Source organism: Homo sapiens, chromosome 5 (assembly GCF_000001405.40).
Source record: "Homo sapiens chromosome 5, GRCh38.p14 Primary Assembly".
NCBI lineage: Eukaryota > Metazoa > Chordata > Mammalia > Primates > Hominidae > Homo > Homo sapiens.
This window is the reverse complement of record NC_000005.10, coordinates 39388300-39408841: the sequence shown is the minus strand read 5'-3', so window position 1 is coordinate 39408841 and position 20542 is coordinate 39388300. Positions and strand designations below refer to the sequence as shown.

Genomic DNA, 20542 nt, shown 5'->3' with positions numbered 1-20542 from the left:
TCTAGGAAACAAACTGCCAAGATTCTGACCTTCAGCCTGCTTGAACACTGGTATCAAGAGGAGAGATGGCTGGTTGTCAGGCTGCTGGTTCTCTGCAAACCTGAAATTTGACAAATAAATATCAAGTCACTTTTTGTTTTTAAATGACTCCTTTTTCCTTCATCTAATTTGAAAGCAACCATGTCTTGTCTAAAGGAAATTAACTAAATCATGAAGAACCATTTTTTAAATGATAATATTTTGAGCACACCAGATGACAGTAAATAGTAAGCAGTTTCAAATCAAAACAAACATAGCTATTCATAGCCACTGGGATTAGCAAGGCCACCAATATTCCTGGAGATGAAGCCTAACTGCCATGTTGGTTGTGGATGTCTTCCCCAACTCGAATAGATCATATCAGATGTGGAAATGTGACCCAGCGGCAAGTCTCTCATGGAAGGTTAATGCCAACTCTATGGGTAGGTTGAATATCAAAACAAAGGACATGCCACCTAGAACCTAGAGACAACATATTCGAATTAGATTAGTTAAACTGATCTTGTTTTGAGTCTGCATAACTGTAAGAAGTGTTTTCATGGTTTTGCTCTCTATACAGAAATGCAACAAAAAATACGTTCCACCTGTCTGTATACAATCACTATGTACACCCTAGTTTGCTCTGTGCTGATTTACAAGGCAGCTGGATTCTTCTTCCTTCAAACTCTTTAAACAGTGTGTCCTTGAAACATGAGTTGCAAGAAAGGGTACAGCAACACTCAAGCAATGGCTTTGAGGATTATATAAATATGGGGCTTTTCCTGGAAAGGGAAACCACATTGGGATTTTATATAATTTAGCCAGGCTATTAAAGAAGAAACCAAATATCAGGCAGTATTTCTTGCACTGGTTTTCGGAAGAGGAGAAGTTTAAGATTACCTGCTTGTTTTAAAGTGCCCTGGTGTGGTATATATCATAAAATAATTCTACTAGTGTACGTAGCCCTTCATTTATAGCTTAATGTTTATAGCACAGATGCTTCTAAATTACATGCTTTTTAAAAACTCTTCTAACATCCGCATAGAGTTTCAAGCTGACTACTGTCATGGCACTTGAATAGAAAGTGGGAAGTATTCAATAATTAGGATTTATATGCATATGCGTCATAGGTGAAGTCACAGAGGGACGTGGATGAAGAAATGATTGTATCCTGAAGTCCACGAGTGAGGTATGCTGCACATCTATGTTGACTTAATTCAGGATTATTTCATACGGGGATGAGAATGCACAACCTAATGTTGTATATTCTAGGAACAAACTGCCAAGATTATTTGTATCATTCATTTTAAAACTAGCATGGTGGGCCGGGCATGGTGGCTCACGCCTGTAATCCCAGCACTTTGGGAGGCTGAGGCAGGAGTTTGAGACCAGCCTGGCCAAAATGGTGAAACCCTGTCTCTACTAAAAATACAAAAATTAGCCAGGCAGTGTGGCAAGCACCTGTAGTCCCGACTTCTCAGGAGGCTGAGGCAGGAAAATCGCTTGAACCTGGGAGGCGGAGGTTGCAGTGAGCTGAGATCGCGCCTCTGCACTCCAGCGTGGGCAACAGAGCGAGACTCCGTCACAAACAGAACAAACAAACAAAAAACCTAGCATGGAAATAGGAAGAGGAGTTATTTTTGGTAGAAATATCTAACCTAGCTTAGAAAGGACAGACATGAAAACAGTAAAACATTTGCTGGGTCAGTTTGGGTCAGTATATGATGAGGGAGGATTGTAGTAAAAGCTATGAATGGTGTGAGTGCGTTGCCTCTGAGTCTTAACTTTTTGACTACCTTTTCCTGCCAGGATCAAGCATAATACATTGTATATTTAGATGCCAAATTTAAAGTAAAACTCATGCATTTACTGTGTTTTGTATCAGTTCCAGAGTGCTTCTCTTCAAGTCACTGCCCCAAAGACACTGCAATAGAAAAATTCTAGAGGTTTCTATGTCAGTAGTAGTTTTTTTTAATATTAAAACTCTAATATTTTTCATGTAAGTTGTTCGTTCTTTAGAAAATTGTATGCCCTTGGATTTAGGATGGGAGGGAAGCAGAATGAAATATAATATCCTACTTTACCATCTAATGATACAAAATAAAGTTCTTCTAAATTCAAATTTTAAAACGGGTTTATTCTATTGACCCATTCCAGTTGCCTATGAACACTTTAGCTTTCTAAAATCTTCTTCCAAAAGTGCTTTCTTGGTATATGTTCTGATTAATATCACTTCAAAACTAGAAATACCAAGCCTTCCTGGTCTTGGGGTCTCCTATGAGGGTCCCTTCCTGCTGTTGTCACCATGGTGTGAAGTCTTCAGCCTCATCACAGTCACCTAGTGCAAGTGACTGGGCTACCACCAAAACCTGGTGGGTTTTAGCCACTGAAGAAAGTGCTCTGGTGAGCGGGGCAGGTTTGGCCATCTCTGGTCCTGCAGTAGTGTCTCCAGGTATGGGAAGTGCTCAGTAGAGTTCCGCCATGTCCCTACAGGCCCTCTGGTCACACGGCTCTTTCAGTGTGATAATGCATGCCACCCACCAGCCACTGCACCAAGGCATGCCCATGCTGCCCGAGTCTGCTTGGCTGGGTCAGATTGGACACCTAATGCTTGTGCCAGGTCTTTAGTTAAGACTGCCTACCTTCCTGTTATGGGAATTCTTCCCTTGGGCCCTCTCCACTGTGTCAGACCACTTCAGCCCATTGATCATTTCCCAGAAGTGCCTCAGCTTACTCTATAGACTTGTTCACCAGCTTCCCAGATACCTTTGAGCTTTAAAGCCTAAAGTATATGGGAAAGAGTAGCCTTTGCCAAACTCTTCCAACCCCATAATAAAGCCATATTATCCTTTTTCCCAGAACAATGGTTTCATAATAGCTTTTCCTCAGAAGTAATGGGAATCACTCATGGCTTCTTCCATAGGTGACTTGATATTTCTCTAAGTAGAAAGAGAAGCAGCTAGTGAGGTGGTTCGAGATGACATTTAATATCACAACTCTGGGCTCAAGGTTGTAGTCATTACCTTGCCAATCTCTCTTCCCTACATCACTTCCCAGGGACAAGTACAAAATGGAGAACAGCACATAAGGAAAGACATACCATATAAGGAAAGAATTATGCATGGGCATAGGTGCCTAGCAACCTCCAAATACAGAGCTCTGCAAAAGCTACGTTGCAGCATGCTATGCGCTAGACTGTAATTCCCCATTGTCTTTTCCTTGTCAAGTTGTGCCCACAACATTGTCCTACCCAGCTTGCTTGAGATATATGAAACTCACGTACCAAATGGTCCCTGATGTAAAGCAGGTCATAGCCCAAATGATTCAGTGCCAGCAATGTAAGGCAATGACAGAAATGTGATTTTTAACCTCTGTAGTTTCCCTGAAGTTTCAATGTCACTTCCTTTCCTTTGTAGAAGTGAGTTAAAGGAGAAAGTTGGATTCCTGTTCTGTGTAGTCTAAGCCAGAGGAGGTTATACTTGAGAACTGGGGTGGAATATGTTTCTTCTCCCACATTAAAGCTGAAATGGGTGTATACTCTCTAATGCCAATTAATTCAACCTCAAGCCTCATATGTCCATATTCACAAAAATTCCACGTGATCAAAAGACCAAAAGGACATTCTGACACTGCTCTCTTTCTTAGAAGCTGAATAAGTGTAAAGAGGGATTCTAGAATCAATTGTCTCTGCATGTCTGTGTTCATACAAGCATATTAACTTACACCCAGCTTTGCCGAGAGGCCAGAACATGTTCTCACTGTGAAGACTACACTTTCTATTTTTTCCAACTTTAGTGCAGTTAAGTGTTCAAACTAATAGCCCTTGTGCTGAAACAACAAAGCAAAAATACAATTGCAAAATTGATCATAACCTTAATACTTCTGTTCAGCTTGTGAACACTTTCAGACACTTGCCGTGAATTGGGTGGCACTGCCCCGTCTAAAGGCCAAGTGCAGTGGCTCATGCCTGTAATCCCAGCACTTTGGGAGGCCGAGGCGGGTGGATTGCCTAAGGCCAGGAGTTCGAGACCAGCCTGGCCAACATAGTGAGACCCTGTCTCTACTAAAAACGCAAAAATTAGCTGGGCCTAGTGGTGGGCACCTGTAGTCCCAGCTACTTGGGAGGTTGAGGCAGGGGAATCGCTTGAACCCGGGAGGTGGAGGTTGCAGTGAGCTGAGATCATGCCACTGCACTCCATCCTGGGAGACAGAGCAAGACTCTGTCTCAAAAAAAAAACCCAAAAACCAAAATCCAAAAACAAAGAATGTGCCCTTATTTGGATGCATAAAGCTTCTTTGAAGTTTAAACTCTTCTAAACGTTCTTTATAGAGGGGACTGTTTCTTTCTTTTTTTTTTTTTTTTAGATAATAATACATGCATTTATTTTTTATTTATTTATTTTTTTAATTTTACTTTTTCTTTTTTTTTATTATACTTTAAGTTTTAGGGTACATGTGCACAATGTGCAGGTTAGTTACGTATGTATACATGTGCCATGTTGGTGTGCCGCACCCATCAACTCGTCATTTAACATTAGGTATATCTCCTAATGCTATCCCTCCCCCCTCCCCCCACCCCACAACAGACCCTGGTGTGTGATGTTCCCCTTCCTGTGTCCATGTGCTCTCATTGTTCAATTCGCACCTATGAGTGAGAACATTGACTCAGCAATCCCATTACTGGGTATATACCCAAAGGATTATAAATCATGCTGCTATAAAGACACATGCACACGTATGTTTATTGTGGCACTATTCACAATAGCAGAGACTTGGAACCAAGCCAAATGTCCAACAATGATAGACTGGATTAAGAAAATGTGGCACATACACCATGGAATACTATGCAGCCATAAAAAATGATGAGTTAATGTCCTTTGTACGGACATGGATGAAGCTAGCAACCATCATTCTCAGCAAACTATCGCAAGGAGAGGACTGTTTCTTATGCTCCAATAAGAGACATTCTTAATAACAAGTTATTAAAAAAAACAAAATGGGTAGAGGTGGGTACAAAATTAGGATGGGTTATAATGAGTCCAGAGTATTGAAAGTTGCCAATTCAAGAGCTTAGACTTCCTATCATGCTCAAAAAAAAAAAAAAAAATTCCAAAAAAACTAAAACTAAAAGGCCAAACACTGAATAGTAGAGAATGTACCGAAATAAATTTAAATGCTTTGATCTGCAAGTCTCAGACCTAGGCAAAGCAGCCAAATCAATATTAATGAGACAGTTTGACCAAGTAACTCCTGCTACCTAGGCAAAAAGGAATCTAGTGACAATGTATAATGAGACCATGTAAGATCCTTTTTCTATTTTGATTCAGAAAACATCTATAAAATACCATGTTCAAATTACCCTGCTAAGCTATCTTCTTGTTCTTTTGCTTGGTATATCTGCTAAATGGAAGGCATTCTTGGTTCAGTCCCCATGTAATGGGCTTTGTACATCCTGTTTTTAAAAAATGGTTTTTAAAAACAAACACAGGTAATCTCTAGGAATAAGGCATTACAGTCTCATGCTAGATCTTTCCTGGTGCCAGCTTTGTCCCCTCCAGCTATTTCACAATTAGACAAGTCAAACTCTCTTTCTTGCCCTCAGTTTTCTAATCATTATAATAAAATGATGTGGCCAAATTATTCTCTATTTTTCTTCCAGCTCAAGTCTAACCCACTTGGTATTTCTTTAAGCAGATAAAGCGTTGTTAAAGTAAACCATCGCACCTCACATAGGTCAGTATATTGAAATGATTTAGGAATCTTTAAAATATATTGATACCTGGGTCTCTATGCCCAGAGACTGTGATCTAATTTATCTGGGAATGCCATGAATATCAATGTTTTAAGAATTCCACAGTAAAATTTTCCCAGATGATGTGAAGCAGAGCTTCTAAACTGTCCGTGATAATGACGTAGGCATGAATTTTAACTCAGGATTCATTGGAACAGGCATCTCTGGGTAACTTAGAGTAGATTTTGTTCCCAGAGTCTGTTTCTATCAGAACCCAACTTTTGTAGGCTCAGAAGGCAGAGCTGAGCAGGAGGTGGCTCTTACACTGGCAAACCATCTCACTTTTCCACCTGGGCTTTACTAGTTAAAATACTAGGCTGGGTGCAGTGGGTCAAGCCTGTAATTACAACATTTTGAGAGGCCAAGGCAGATGGATCACCTGAGGTCAGGAGTTCAAGATCAGCCTGGACAACATGGTGAAACCCTGTCTCTACTAAAAATACAAAAAATTGGCCAGGTGTGGTGGCTGATGCCTGTAATCTCAGCTGTTTGGGAGGGTGAGGCAGGAGAATCACTTGAACCCAGGAGGTGGAGGTTTTAGTGAGCTGAGATTGCACCACTGCACTCCAGCCTGGGCAACAAGAGCAAAACTCTGTCTCAGAATAAATAAATAAATAAAGTATTACACCATTCCACCTTTCCACTTATTAGTCATTTGAGCATAGGTTCTTACTGTTCTAAAAGTGTTTAAACACTTACTGTGGAAATGCAATGTTGGAAAGAGCACAAGACTACACAACACATAGCTTCTGTGACCTAGCTTTGGTTTAATAGTAGCTACTGATATGGTTTGGCTTTGTCTCCACCCAAATCTTATCTTGAACTGTGGCTCCCATAATTCCCATGTATTGTGGGAGGGACCTGGTGGGAGGTAATTGAATCATGGGGGCAGTTTCCCCCATACTGTTCTCTTGGTAGTGAATAAGTCTCATGAGGTCTGATGGTTTTAAAAGGGGTTTCCCTTTTCGATTGGCTGTCTTTCTTGTCTGCCACCATGTAAGACGTGCCTTTCACCTTCCACCACGATTGTGAGGCCTCCCCAGCTACGTGGAACTGTGAGTCCGTTAAACCTCTTTTTCTTTATAAATTACCGAGTCTCAAAAATACAAAAAATTAGCCAGGCATGATGGCAGGCGCCTGTAGTCCCAGCTACTTGGGAGGCTGAGGCAGGGGAATGGCGTGAACCCGGCAGGCGGAGCTTGCAGTGAGCCGAGATCGCACCACTGCACTCCAGCCTGGGCGACAGAGCAAGACTCCGTCTCAAAAATAAATAAATAAATAAATAAATAAATAAATAAATAACCCAGTCTCAGGTATGTCTTTAACAGCAGTGTGAGAACAGACTAATACAGCTACCATTTGTTAAGCACTTTCTAAGCCAGGTGCAGCTGTCGCTATGTAAGTTCTTACTGATTTTTTTTCTAATAGCTCAGCAAACTATATTCTCATTTTACCAATGAAGAAATGAACATTAGATAAATTGTCTCAAGCCACAGAGCCAGGAAATGATGAATCCTGGGTGGGTGGGACTCACAAGCCTGAGCTATTAGCTGCTATGCTATCCCACCTCTACCCAAAGTTAACTGTTTGATAGAATCTTAACTCTGGTCTGACTTGGTTCCAAAAACAGGGAAAGCATCTTGGTTCAAGATTTACTAAGTCCTCTAAGTCCTGCCATATCATTTTCAAAGATTAAAGGCAATGATACCTCCTCGCTGTAAATGCATAACTTGTGGATAGCTCATTGACTCGGGCTTGTTTTGTTAGTGAGGCCCCTACAGTAGTGTCAGCATTTACAAGAAAATCTTCTAAGGACTCCTTTTCAGTATGCATTAGCATAGTCTCATTCCTCAGTGAAACAGGCTGTAAAAATCTTACTGTCTGCTCAGTTTGGTCTTTGCAGAGCAGAAGAGCCTTCCTAAAAGCATAAGAATCCAAAAAAGCAGTTAAAGGAAGGATTTGCATAAAGTATCAGAAACAGTCTAACTTTGCTACAGCATCGCTGGTAATGACCCCTATTCTTAAAGAGCTACTTTGAAGATAGCAGTGAAGGCTGTTTGCTGCCCTCTTGGACCCCGAGGTCTGTCTTAGAGGTTAATATTTCACATGTTGTCCTAATTCCGCACTTTAGCTGAGGCAGGCAGAAAGTTCAAAGAAACAAGGAAGCACATTCTCTGTCCAGTACAAAGTACTGGACATTCTAAACAAATATGTTTATGTTGCTTTCTTCTTGAGTCTCCTTAATTCCTTTCCCTGTGTCTATTATATGTGGCTTCTTGCTAAAAATTAATGGTGTGTTAATGTCAGTGGGATGATGACTTTTTGAAAGTAGCTTATAAAATCCAGGTTAAAATCAGTGGGATTCAAGAAAAGACAAGAGAGACAGTATATATAAGAGAAGAGAAAACACAGACTATGCTCACTTTGAGCCCAATGGCTTATGGCGGATTGATTTTCTGTTGCTGTGTCCATTTCATTATTCATAAAATAGAGACACATTCAGCCGGATGCGGTGGCTCACACCTATAATCCCAGCACTCTGGGAGGCCGAGGCAGGACCTGAGGGAGGTCAGGAGCTCGAGACCAGCCTGGCCAACATGGTGAAACCCTGTCTCTACTAAAAATACAAAAACTTAGCCAGGCATGGTGGTGGGTGGCTGTAATCCCAGCTACTCGGGAGGCTGAGGAAGGAGAATGGCTTGAACCTGGGAGGCAGAGGTTGCAGTAAGCCGAGATTGCGCCACTGCACTCCAGCCTGGGCAACAAGAGTGAAACTCTATCTCAAGAAAAAAAAAAAAAGAGAGACACATTCTGTTTCATAGGCCTTTCGGAATAAGTGTTCTTAGTGGTTGGTATACTAGGTGTTTGTCCCATTCCCCTTAATGTTAAAAATAAATTCCCTACCATCTGTTGAATGGGGCTACCACTAAGTCCTTAACTCAAGTTATTCCTTTTACCAGCATTTTGAGACTGGCAAAGCACTTTTCCTGCCTGCTCTGTATAATTAGGGTAAGAAGGTAGGCTTGGGAGTCACAGGGGAGGATGGTTGACACTTGTATTATGATATTGCTTCAAAACCTTGGAATCATTAAGTAGTACCATTGCTGATGCCAACACATTCCTACTGGTAGAAAGGATAAGGATATATAAGAAGTGCCAACCAACTTTACCCCTATAAAGCCTAGACTAATCATTGTCCACCATGCTGGCAATTGAAGGATTCAAAACACTAGACATTTTATATGAATCACTAAGGACTAAGCAACAGCTGATTTTTATTATTGCAAAGCCCATAGTCATTCTAAGATGACTCATGCAGTCTTCCAGAATAAATTTCTCAGAGCCTTCTCAGAAACCAGGAGAGATGTTGCAAGCTCCAGAATCTCTTGCAGTCATCTGATGCTAGTCCCACAGAAGGGGGAAGTCTCTGCATTCTTTCAGGGAGATTTGCATTAAGTCCAAAATCCAAGTTAGAGATCTTCACTTAAATGGAAGCTAATTTTATTCATATAGCAGAGTTTCCTTTACAGCTTTCTGTTCTATCTGAGGCCTTAAAAAGGAGTCAGGACTATAAGATAACTTTAGATCTTCCTTTGTTTTTACATGTGTCATCTTACTTCTCTTTTCAATCTTCTAATGAAGGAAACAGCCAGTCCCTGAGAACCAGGATAACAAACTAGCTATTTTTAGATGGGGAACTGTGCTTGTGAGCCTTTTTATATGTTTTTGAGCTTTCATTTGTAATCCTTGCCTTGTGATAACACCCCTTGGGTGTATTTCCTGACTAATTTTGCACTTTTTGAACTGAAGGGACCTGAGACTACACCCAACGAGTGAGAAAATTGTATACTTCCTCCTTGTGCTGCACTCACTTGCTTCCCTTTGTAAGAAATTTTTACCATCCTAGAGCTTTCAAACAGACCCCATTGCTTAACATAAGCTAGACACTTTCTTCAACAGAGCCCCAGTTTGGAAAGGTAATCAAAGGAATTAACTAGGGGACTTTTGGTCCTCAGATCCCTTTTCTAGGCCCAATCCCTTTTTTAAATTCAACTCATTAAAAACCCTGCTAAAAGTTTTATGGATGCAAGTGACAATATTCAAATGCATTACATTTGAATATTGACTATTAAGTTTAAACCAATTATTCTCTACAGATGGATCTAAGTCTGTAAGTGAGCTGCCTTCTACCCACTGCATGTTAAATGATAACTTGCCTATTTGACAAGTCTATGATGGGGACGTGCTCTTTAAACCTTGGGAGAAATGTGAATTATCACTCTGGTGTATGCATAACTGGATGTACACTTTTGTTAAAATCTTGCAATAAGTCTTGAACATTTTTTTTGTAAAGGGGTTTGTAGTCTTGGGGCCTGTAAGCAGAGTCTACCTTCTGATCATTTCAGGAAGTAGAGATAGATATATTTTCAATTGTATGGCCTACAATGGAGACTTACCCTTGGCTATTGCAACTCAACATACACATCCATTTTCTTCAGGGAATTTATATTACAGAAACTTTTCCTCCTTATTTTTTTCTTCCTTGTCCCTTGGAATTGCTCATACCCAAATGGCGAAAGGATATAGTCAAAGGAAATCAATTACCTTTAAAGCAATTCCAATGCTATGAAAAGCTGTATTTAAATATCTGAACAGAGAAATTTTTGCTATAAAAACTTACAGCAAGGTAATGCCACTCACCTTAGAATCCTTCCATTTGGCCCAGTCTGCCAACGCTAGATTCGATACCTGGTCTTCAGCTACGTCTTGTGTTACTTTTATGACTAAACCCAGATGCCACCGTTCCCTCCCCCAAAACCCCTCAAAGTGCTTTGTGGCACTTCTCAAATTCTTTTAAAATAGTCTCATGTAAGAATACAAATTGCCAAATTTAATGAGCTAAGTCTTTTCATGTCAGAAATAATACCTTGCAGTGAAGTATGATATCCGGCTTCAAAGATGGGCAACAGACTCTTAAGCCCAGGTCACTTTTTCAGCCAGTGATTCTAACCCAGTTCTGGGCCATCTTGCTGCTGCTATCAACACATGCATTGATGAACTCAACATAATACTGACCTAAGCAAGACAGATCTGAAGGTATAGTCACACACACTTCAATTGCCTCCCATGAAGAAAATAGAATGTATTCTGTTTTGGAATATATTGTTGCAGTTCTTGTTCTGGGCCTAGAAAGTTAAAAGTAGATATCGAAGTATATAAATATAGCCTTGAAAGCCAAAATAATATGGTTTTTAAAAGCATATAAGGATTAATATTCAAGTGAAACACTTGAATCTGCCACATTTAGGGTACCCTTAAAGAATAGTTTTTTGATCTGGAAAATCAAAACAGATTAGCCTTACCATTGTGTCAGTTGGAGTTCAGTCCACACCAGTTATTTTAAAAGATTTTAATGTTAAGCATTAATTCCCACTCGAATACTAACCAGGCCTGACCCTGCTTAGCTTCCAAAATCAGGCTTGTTCATGGTTGTATGGCCGCAGATATTAAGTGTTAACTAGGTATAAGTTGTTAGCTAGAAAACTGAGAGAGTAAGAAGAGAAGATCAAGTCATCACTGGGTAAGTAAACTACAGAAAGCAGCTACCACCTCTAGGGCTGAGGGGACAAAGTTAAGACATTGGAACCATCAAAGTTTATAAAGCTTGCAGGAGGGGGTCTCATGGTGCTGATACTGAGGCCTCTGAGAAGGGAGTACTGCTTAGCTAGTACTGGAGTCCCTGTGCTCTGAGGGCCTGGGACCTGTTGGCCTGGAGAGAGTATGCCAGAGGGCTGATGCTGATGTCTCCAGGACAGGCATGATGAGACTAGTTCTGCAAGTGTTAAAACTGGATTCAGGGGCTGTTTTAGGAAGAAACTCTTGCTGCTGGAGTGAAGAAGTTCTACTAGAGTCACACTCCCAGGAGTCTCAAGTCATAAGGAAGTCCATGTGGAGCAAGCAGACATGTCCGAGTCCCTTCACCAGCTTGGCAGTTTCCCTCCAGCGCACCTTACTGGCAGAGCCAACATGCAGCCAGCAGGCAAAGCAGGAATGTTTGCACAGTCTAGCTCTGGCTTCACTAACCGGAGATAGAGGTGGTTCTGAAGCTGAGACAACTTAAATGGCACAGATCACCCCTCCAGCTACTCAGCATCCACATACACCCTTCCACACCTTTCAACTTTTCCTCTGACAGCCACACAAGTGTTTCCATCTAAAAAGGTGCAACTGTCTTTCATTCAGAGAAAGATGTTCTCACCCTCTCCCCAAACTGGGAAGCTGCAAAGACCCCATAGGCATCACATTCATTTCTGGAAAACGGTTACTGTCTTTGGGCTACATTAACCACCCCTAGACTTCAGTTGCAGTCCCATCTGAATAATTCACTGCCTAAAGACAAAATTGTACATTTAACTTCAAAAATACTTGCATTAAAAGAGAAGATAGAGAGATAAGAAAATAGGTAATACATACCAGTGTATACACATAACAAGCAAGGAAGAAAATACGCATAGCTACAACTGCCCTCATTACCATCTGCATGAATGCCATCTATATCCCAGACATTGAGAAATGAGTCTCCTACATTCAAGGAGATTATAGTCCAGTGTGTGGGCAGACAAGCAAATAGACTTGTGTGTAAACCATGCAATGGACATGTGTATTTCAAGAGGACTACGTGAAGCTGTGCTGGAATACAGCTTCTCAGCTGAGATTTGTCACTGCAGTGTTGAGGAACTCTGGTTTGGGGCCAGACAGTCTGGGTTACAAACCTGGTTCTACCACTTAGCAGGTATGTCGTTTTAAATATCTTTGCCTTCACTTTGGGAGGCTGAGTCAGGCGGATCACAAGGTCAGGAGCTTGAGACCAGCCTGACCAACATGGTGAAACTCCGTCTCTACTGAAAATACAAAACTTAGCCGGGCGTAGTGCCCCTCACCTGTAATCCCAATCCCAGCTACTCAGGAAGCCGAGGCAGGAGAATCGCTTGAACCCGGGAGGTGGAGGTTGCAGTGGGCCGAAATCGTGCCACTGCACTCCAGCCTGGGCGACACAGCAAGACTCCGTCTCAAAAAAAAAAAAAAAAAAAAAAAGAATATCTGTGTCTTAGCCTTCCCTCTGGAAAATGAAATATGATACAGTAATACTCACAGGACTACTATGAATCTTTTAAAGTTATACAATTAAAAGGTTAATAGTGCCTGGTTCCCACCTAAGTCCTGAGTTAAGAATGGCTTTGAGTCTCCTACTGTGTAAGACTTTCATCTGTAAACAGACTGTCTCCCTGGTTGCCAACCAGCCAGGTGTCTTTGAGCAAAATTAACTACTAAATCTCCAAATGAAGCAATTCAGATAACATTACTCATACATAGATTGCATGAATGTATGTATTTAAAGACTGTTCAGATTATAAAGACTTTTAAAACTCACAGTGGGAGAAATTAAGTACTGACCCCTATGAAAACATGTTGACATCTGTAAACAAGCTAAGTGCAATTTAAATTGAGTAAAAACTTGAGACTTACTTTTTATTTAGATATTCTTTAAGTATCTAACAAACGACAGTTATTCCCATGTGGTGGGCTTGGTCCTTCAGTTACAATGTTCACTTAAATGGGTGGTATAGGCACGGAATGAAGAGGGCTTTTGTTGAAGGCAGGGTTGTGGAGGGGTTAGTGTGCCAGCCCACAGGTTGTCTTAACACGATTACAAAACAATGAATAGCTTTTCTTTGCCTTTGGTCATCAGTCAATGTAGAAAGTTAATCTACTCGCCCTAGCTCTCTCTACAGCATATAGAAACATTGGCTCCTGGGAAGTGAGAGAACCTTTTGGAAAGTTAGCTCACTTCTGCGTGGTTACAATGACTGCATTTTCCTGTTTCTCCTACTATGATACATTGTGGGTAGGGCAGAGGTTGTGAGAGCACATGACAGACTGTTTGGAGTATGGTGATGCTGAATAATAGCATAAAAATGTACTAGATTAATTGCACAATTGGAACCCCCTCAATCCATTATTTCCCTGATACAAATAAGTGTTAATGGCAAAAAAGGATGTGTTTTATAGTGCTTGGATAACCCTGGGGATCATATGCAGAATCCTAATACTTAAAACAAATTTATCAATGTGAATAAGATACAGGTCATAACTCTACTCTAGTCACTGCCTTTATAGTTAAGCAATTTTCCGAAGAACTGAAATTTATAATGCCCAATCTCAAATGGCATTTGCAGTCTTACCAGGCTTAACATTCAATTTATTTCTGTTTTGCAATAATGCCTAGCAAGTTTTCGATCCCTATCTTTAATACTTGCTTTTTATGTGAAAGTTCTAATAAAAACTGCTTAGCTAGATAATCATTAAATGTTACCAGATATCAAGTGCTTAAAGAAAAAACTAATAGGCACACATGTTCCATTTTGGAAACTACAAAGGAAACACTCCTACCCACTCCCCTGCTTTCAGTCTTCAGTCTAATACAGCAGGAGAAGGAACAAAATGAGTCCAAAGAACTACAAAAGAAAGTCACTAGTTGTAAGCCTATTCTGGCATAAAGTCTGGGTCTGCTGTGTTCTGATCTCAATATGCCTCTAAACTCTGCCTACAGGTGTCTGTGGGAGGTTATGTTTATTTGAGACTTCTCCATCGGGATCGCCTGGTGTCACCAAGTGTCCACTGGTACTGAGGTTTGCTGCCTGCCTTCTTGCCATGTCTAACGAAGTAGAAACAAGTGCAACCAATGGTCAGCCCGACCAACAGGCCGCACCAAAAGCACCCTCAAAGAAGGAAAAAAAGAAAGGTATGGAGAAATCCACTTGAAGCCAAGGAAGGGAGCTAGAGATGGTTACCCCTGGAGAAATGTGAGATTCAGAATAAAGTAAGGGCTGGCTCTGATCTTCCTTCAACCTCAGCTTAGTCTCATGTTCTCCTAATAGGAAAGTTGTACCTTGGGAGAAGAGACTGGTTCATCTCACGTGTAATAAGACATCTCTGGAAACCTGCGATTATACCCACTTAAGTCCAGTTGGGAAACAGTCATGGCATCTTGTTCAGTTAATAATGCAGTCGTTAATTATTATATGGTTATCATTCAGTTATTTATTTACCATTTGATTTTACTGAACTCATTGGGAATGGGACTACACAGACCTTGTAAAAGGAGCAAAAGACATTATAAAGATGGGATAATTATCTTAATAATTTTCAAGAGAACTTAGGCATAATTCCTTTCTGCCTTATTGATAATTTAAAATGTTGGTAAATTGCTTGGCAGCTTATTTTTCTTACATTAAAAATACATATATTATCATCCTTATATTCCTTTAAAGACTTAAAAAAAACTATGATGAAAAATGTCCCCAACTCCCACCTCCCATATTCCCATACGTTTCCCATAACGCTGTCAATTTTGTACTTCTAACAGTTTATTTTCTCCCCACCTCAACTCCATACACAGTTGATTGTGGAACATGATTTTGCTCAAAGGAAGTAAGAATAAGACAGGACAGAATATTACATACATGATCAGTTGTAGTATAATCAGGATTTATATTACTTAAATTTTGGAGAGTCTAGAGCATATTTGGTCATAATTAGAACTAGCATTCTTCATCCTGTATTCCTTTCTTTTCTCAGGCCCTGAAAAGACAGATGAATATCTCTTAGCAAGGTTCAAAGGCGATGGTGTAAAATATAAGGCCAAGCTGATTGGCATTGATGATGTGCCAGATGCAAGAGGGGATAAAATGAGCCAAGACTCTATGATGAAACTAAAGGTAAAAGGGAAATGAATGCTTTATCTGTATATTAAGCAAAAGTCCAAGAGAGGGAATTATATTAGAAGCTCTTGTTGACCTATTGTTCAATTACTTGAAAACTGCTTTTAATCACATTATCCATCAGTAGTGCCCCATTTTCTGAGAAACCGTGAGTGTTTGCATATTTGGAGGGATGTCCTAGATACCTAATTTTATCAAGTATAATAGGACTCTAGATGCCTTTTCCTTCTGGCAAGCTCAACATTAGGACGAACCAAGCGTATTCCTATTTCTATTCCTATAAAAGCTGTGTGCAAATATTTGCATTGCTTGTCTTACTATATGTGGAGAGCACGGAATATCCTGTTTTAGACCTGGGAATTGTTCTGATAAAATTGAGGATTCTACTTAGACATTGGTGTTCCTTAGCGCTAGCCTTTCTGTTTTTTGAATTTAAAAATTTAGTACTATGGCACTATGTGAAACTGACTGAATAAATAATACTTGTTCAATAGTTCAAGGCCTAGAAGAAACATCTCTAAAGATCTTCTAGTTGAGCTTTACCAGTGACTATTCTGAGGCCAAGAGAATTAGAGTGACTTGTCCGAGTTCGCACAGCTAACTAAGGGATGCCCTGGTTCAACGTCTTCTATGCCGTCTTGCTGTCCCGGATGAAAAGTGCCGAATCCTCTCATCGATGGCAGATCAAGTCGAAAACAAAGCTGACTGACTTTGAAAATTTTAATATTAAAACCATTGTAGGATGTTTTTAAAAATTCAACTTCTCTTGTTTTTCCACCCTCATCAGGGAATGGCGGCAGCTGGTCGGTCTCAGGGACAACACAAACAAAGGATCTGGGTCAACATTTCCCTTTCTGGGATAAAAATAATTGATGAGAAAACTGGGGTAAGAATTCACATTTGCTGATACCTCTCTGACCACCTGAGTCTGACCAACAATTTGCTACTTGAATTTCGGCTCCCCTTCTTCGTTCTCAAAGTTCTGTGGGGAACAAATATATCATATATTACATCTCCAGAAGTAACAGGCAGAAAACAGAATAGGAGGTAAAAGTCAAGATACTTGATTTTGAATTTGTGTTCTATAATAAATGTGAATCTAAGTCTGTTAAGTCTGTTAATAGGCTTAGATTCACATTATGTCTATAATATATAAATATATATATTTTTGAAATTAAATAAATATATATAATTTATATAATATACAAATATACATTAAAATATAAATACATATATAATTTATAAAGTAAAACTTCTATATATATATATTTTTTTTTTTTTTTTTGACCTCGGGTATACAGAACTAGATTAATTTTAACCCCTAGTTTGTGACACTTTTATGTATTGCTTACATGTGAACTTACCGGCTAACCTAAAGCTAGAACCTCACCCATAACACATCTACCTCTTTTTCATTTCTTTTTTCCCTGCCTTCTCACCTCACAGATGTAACCTTGTTTTTGTTGGTTCCTGTTGTTCTATTACTTGTGAACAGTCTTACTTATTTTGCCTTGTTTTTAAGCCTTATCAGAAAGCTATTTATCATACATCAAGTCTTCTGTGATTTTTTTTCTGTACTCAATGTAACATCATAAGACTCATGTTTTTTAAAATGTTGTGTGTGGCTCATTTTCATTGCTATAAAATACTCTCTCGCATCACGATACTGTGAGGAGACCTCCAGTTACTATTCATCCCTTTCTAGAGTGCCCATTATCTACCATGCAAACCTAGGGCCCTGGCACCCTAGTGGACCCCACTCAGCCTGCTAGTGCTGGGGTCCTCAGGCACCACTCTCTTTATCAGTCGCCTTTATCTGTCAACTCTTATTTTCCCAAGCCCATCAGAGAAAGGTGGCATGTTTCTCTCACCCTTCTGTGTCTCCTCAAACTTTCTAAGATACTCTAAGATATCTTAGACATTCAGGACAAAAAGCCAAGACACACTCTGCCACCTACAAATATCCCTAAAGAGTTCAACCTTGTTAACTGCTTGAAAGGATCAAGAAAAAGGAGGGAAAAATAGAAGAAAAGACACTAAGCCAATACAGTCCCCACCCCTTATAATTCCTGGTTACTGATGTAGTCATTATGTCATTAACATACTGTAGTTATTACTACATTATGTTACTATGTATTAGGCTGTCTAGGTGAGGCTGAGAAACACTTGATGACAGTATTTGGTATCCTCCAGAATATACTGGGAATACGGTTCCAATAACACATAGGATGGTTCCTCGGCCACTCTGAGCCATCGTCAATGAATCCCTGTGAACACTCCTCTAGCTTAGTTATGCTGTTCTTTTAAGTTTGTCTTTGAGTTGGGAAAGTAGACCTATTTGGCTTGGCTTAAGGGCTAAATGTCTCCTCTTCACTTGGTCTTCTAATCCTCAGTCCTTCCTGGCTATGTGGCATCATGTCTTTAAAGCAGGGAGAGTAAAGTATCAATATTTTAAGAAGGAACATTCTTCCCACTTACGTTTTCTATTCTTCTTTCTTTTGAGCCCTTTCTAGAAAGAGTAATGCTCTAGCCTTCAACCAGAAATGAAAAGTCTATCTTCAAATGGTTTAAACTTTTCATATATGCCTTCATATATGTGTCTGAGGCTTCGGTGTGCTAGCCTGCAAATAGATTCTAGTTTTCTTAATAAATTACTCTTTATGTTCTTTTTTAAGGTAATAGAGCATGAACATCCAGTAAATAAGATTTCTTTCATTGCCCGTGATGTGACAGACAACCGGGCATTTGGTTACGTGTGTGGAGGAGAAGGCCAGCATCAGTTTTTTGCCATAAAAACCGGGCAACAGGTGAGCTCTAAGTCTTGACATAGACCTGGGGACTTGTCCTCTGTGGACATTGGAGTGTCTGTCACTCAACTAAAAGATTTACTGGAAATAATTGGATGTAAGAGGGCTAAATAATAATTCCGAGAATGACTATTTTTATTGGCCTATGGAATCTTTTAAAAATGTCATTGATAGCTATGCACTGCTGTGTGCCACAGGATTGTGAGAATGGACCTTCTTATAAAGTGAATACTGACTTCACAACAGTGGTGAATTATTCTCAGGAACCTTAAAGGACTTCAAATATGATCATGATACCTCTTGTTTTGTCTAAATACTTATTAACCCTGCTGTCTTTTATATACCTAAGGGTGAGGATTGGGTTGGTGGTGATCCCCTATAAGCCAGCAGAGGGTAGTAAGGCGTTTTAAGATTAAAAAAAAAATCCCAGTATGAATTATAATTGATAGCAGACAAAGGAAATAAAATACTAAAATTAAAATACGGATAACAGTGCTTTCCCTTACTGCAGGCTGAACCATTAGTTGTTGATCTTAAAGACCTTTTTCAAGTTATCTATAATGTAAAGAAAAAGGAAGAAGAAAAGAAAAAGGCAAGTACTACCTGATTAAGGCTCTATTAAATTTAAAACTGGCTGGGCATGGTGGCTCACACCTATAATCCCAGCACTTCGGGAGGCAGAGGTGGGTGGATCACCTGAGGTCAGGAGTTCGAGACCAGCCTGGCCAACATGGCGAAACCTCATCACTACTAAAACTACAAAAATTAGCCAGGGGTGGTGGTGGGCACCTGTAATCCCAGCTACTTGGGCGTCTGAAGCAAGGAGAATCACTTGAACCCGGGAGGCAGAGGTTGCAGTCAGCCGAGATGGTGCCACTGCACTCCAGCCTGGGCGACAGAACGAGACTCTGTCTCAAACAAACAAACTTAAAACTGTACTCAGGACTATGTTTAATATTATATATAAATATGGTCTATCTGAAAATTTGGCTTCTATATGTATTGTCTATTCTTCCCAATAGGGCAATGGATACATTTTTATGGTTAGGCACTTCTAATCTGCACTCCCTGGCTTTTATTTTTTTTCTCTCTATGAGATTCATATTAATTCTAGGAAATATACAGGACAACCAAGTTTAAATCCAGTAACTCTACTCAAACCTTATATTGATATGAAAAGGGGAGGGGAACGGAGGGCAGAAATAATATACAAGACTTATTCTTGCCTTATGCCTGTGAACCATAGGCATACTTGTTTGTGTATTTAACTCCCTTTCACTATGAATATGAAGATCACTGAATATGTATCTTTCTTTTTAGATAGAGGAAGCCAGCAAAGCAGTTGAGGTAAAATTGCATCTTTACTTCTTGTTAATCATGTGTGTGACATGCGTAAGCCCCTGTTTTCTACCTGCCCAACCACTCTCGCCACCTCGCTTATTACTATGTGTTTATGACTTCTCTGATCATGAAAGATGTTTAGTTAAAAGATGATACCAAAACCATTGCTGCTTAGCAGACTAATAGAGTGGACAAATACATTTTATAGACAAAGCTCAACTAAATCCTTAAATATTTGCTATCTTTTCAGAATGGGAGTGAGGCCCTAATGATTCTAGATGACCAAACTAACAAACTGAAATCGGTATGTATTAATATGTGACGTTTGACAGTTCTTACTTATCTGAACATGGGTTCTACTTCCTGTAGATGTTGCTGATACCAAATCTGTATTGAATCTATATGAAAATCCAATTGAGACAACTGTTTTTCAAAATATTAGTGTAACATCTATGTCAATATACAAAAGTAGTCAAAAAAAGATTAGAAAAGTAATCTTTTTAGTAGCCACACCTGAATCTAATCTAATACTTTTTAAGGATGTGGACAAGATAGATTTGCTTTGAGACATGTCTACACTTCCTGACCTAAACAGCTTAATATGAAATCTATTAGTTAAATGGAAATTAAATTGTGACAGCTACTTTCCTAAACTTTAGGAAACAAATGATTACAATATACGAAGTAATCTTTTTTAGTAGACACATCTGAATCTAATCCAAATACTTTTTTAAGGGTGTTGACCAGATGGATTTGTTTGGGGACATGTCTACACCTCCTGACCTAAATAGTCCAACAGTAAG

General features: G+C 39.7%; 1 protein-coding gene across 2 annotated transcripts in view, besides 1 other annotated feature; it reads left to right on the top strand.

Moving 5' to 3' along the window:
- Positions 1–20542, top strand: part of DAB2 (DAB adaptor protein 2) — a 53304-nt gene that overhangs the window by 16139 nt on the left and 16623 nt on the right. Inside the window, exons 2-9 of one of the 2 annotated variants that reach the window (NM_001343.4) lie at positions 14421–14612; positions 15449–15588; positions 16379–16477; positions 18267–18398; positions 18910–18990; positions 19719–19745; positions 19990–20043; positions 20475–20537. In NM_001343.4, coding sequence (NP_001334.2) covers positions 14522–14612; positions 15449–15588; positions 16379–16477; positions 18267–18398; positions 18910–18990; positions 19719–19745; positions 19990–20043; positions 20475–20537 — 687 coding nt within the window. In that variant the 5' untranslated portion in view covers positions 14421–14521. The remainder of the gene's footprint in view (positions 1–14420; positions 14613–15448; positions 15589–16378; positions 16478–18266; positions 18399–18909; positions 18991–19718; positions 19746–19989; positions 20044–20474; positions 20538–20542) is intronic. The other variant, NM_001244871.2, reaches the window with a different exon arrangement.
- Positions 13327–13496: an enhancer, noted in NCBI's record as "experimental_84809 CRE fragment used in MPRA reporter constructs". NCBI's record gives its function as "activates a minimal promoter by MPRAs in K562 erythroleukemia cells, with activity observed for both the introgressed and non-introgressed 5:39395533 variant alleles {active_cell/tissue: K562}" and the evidence as "EXISTENCE:reporter gene assay evidence [ECO:0000049][PMID:34662402]".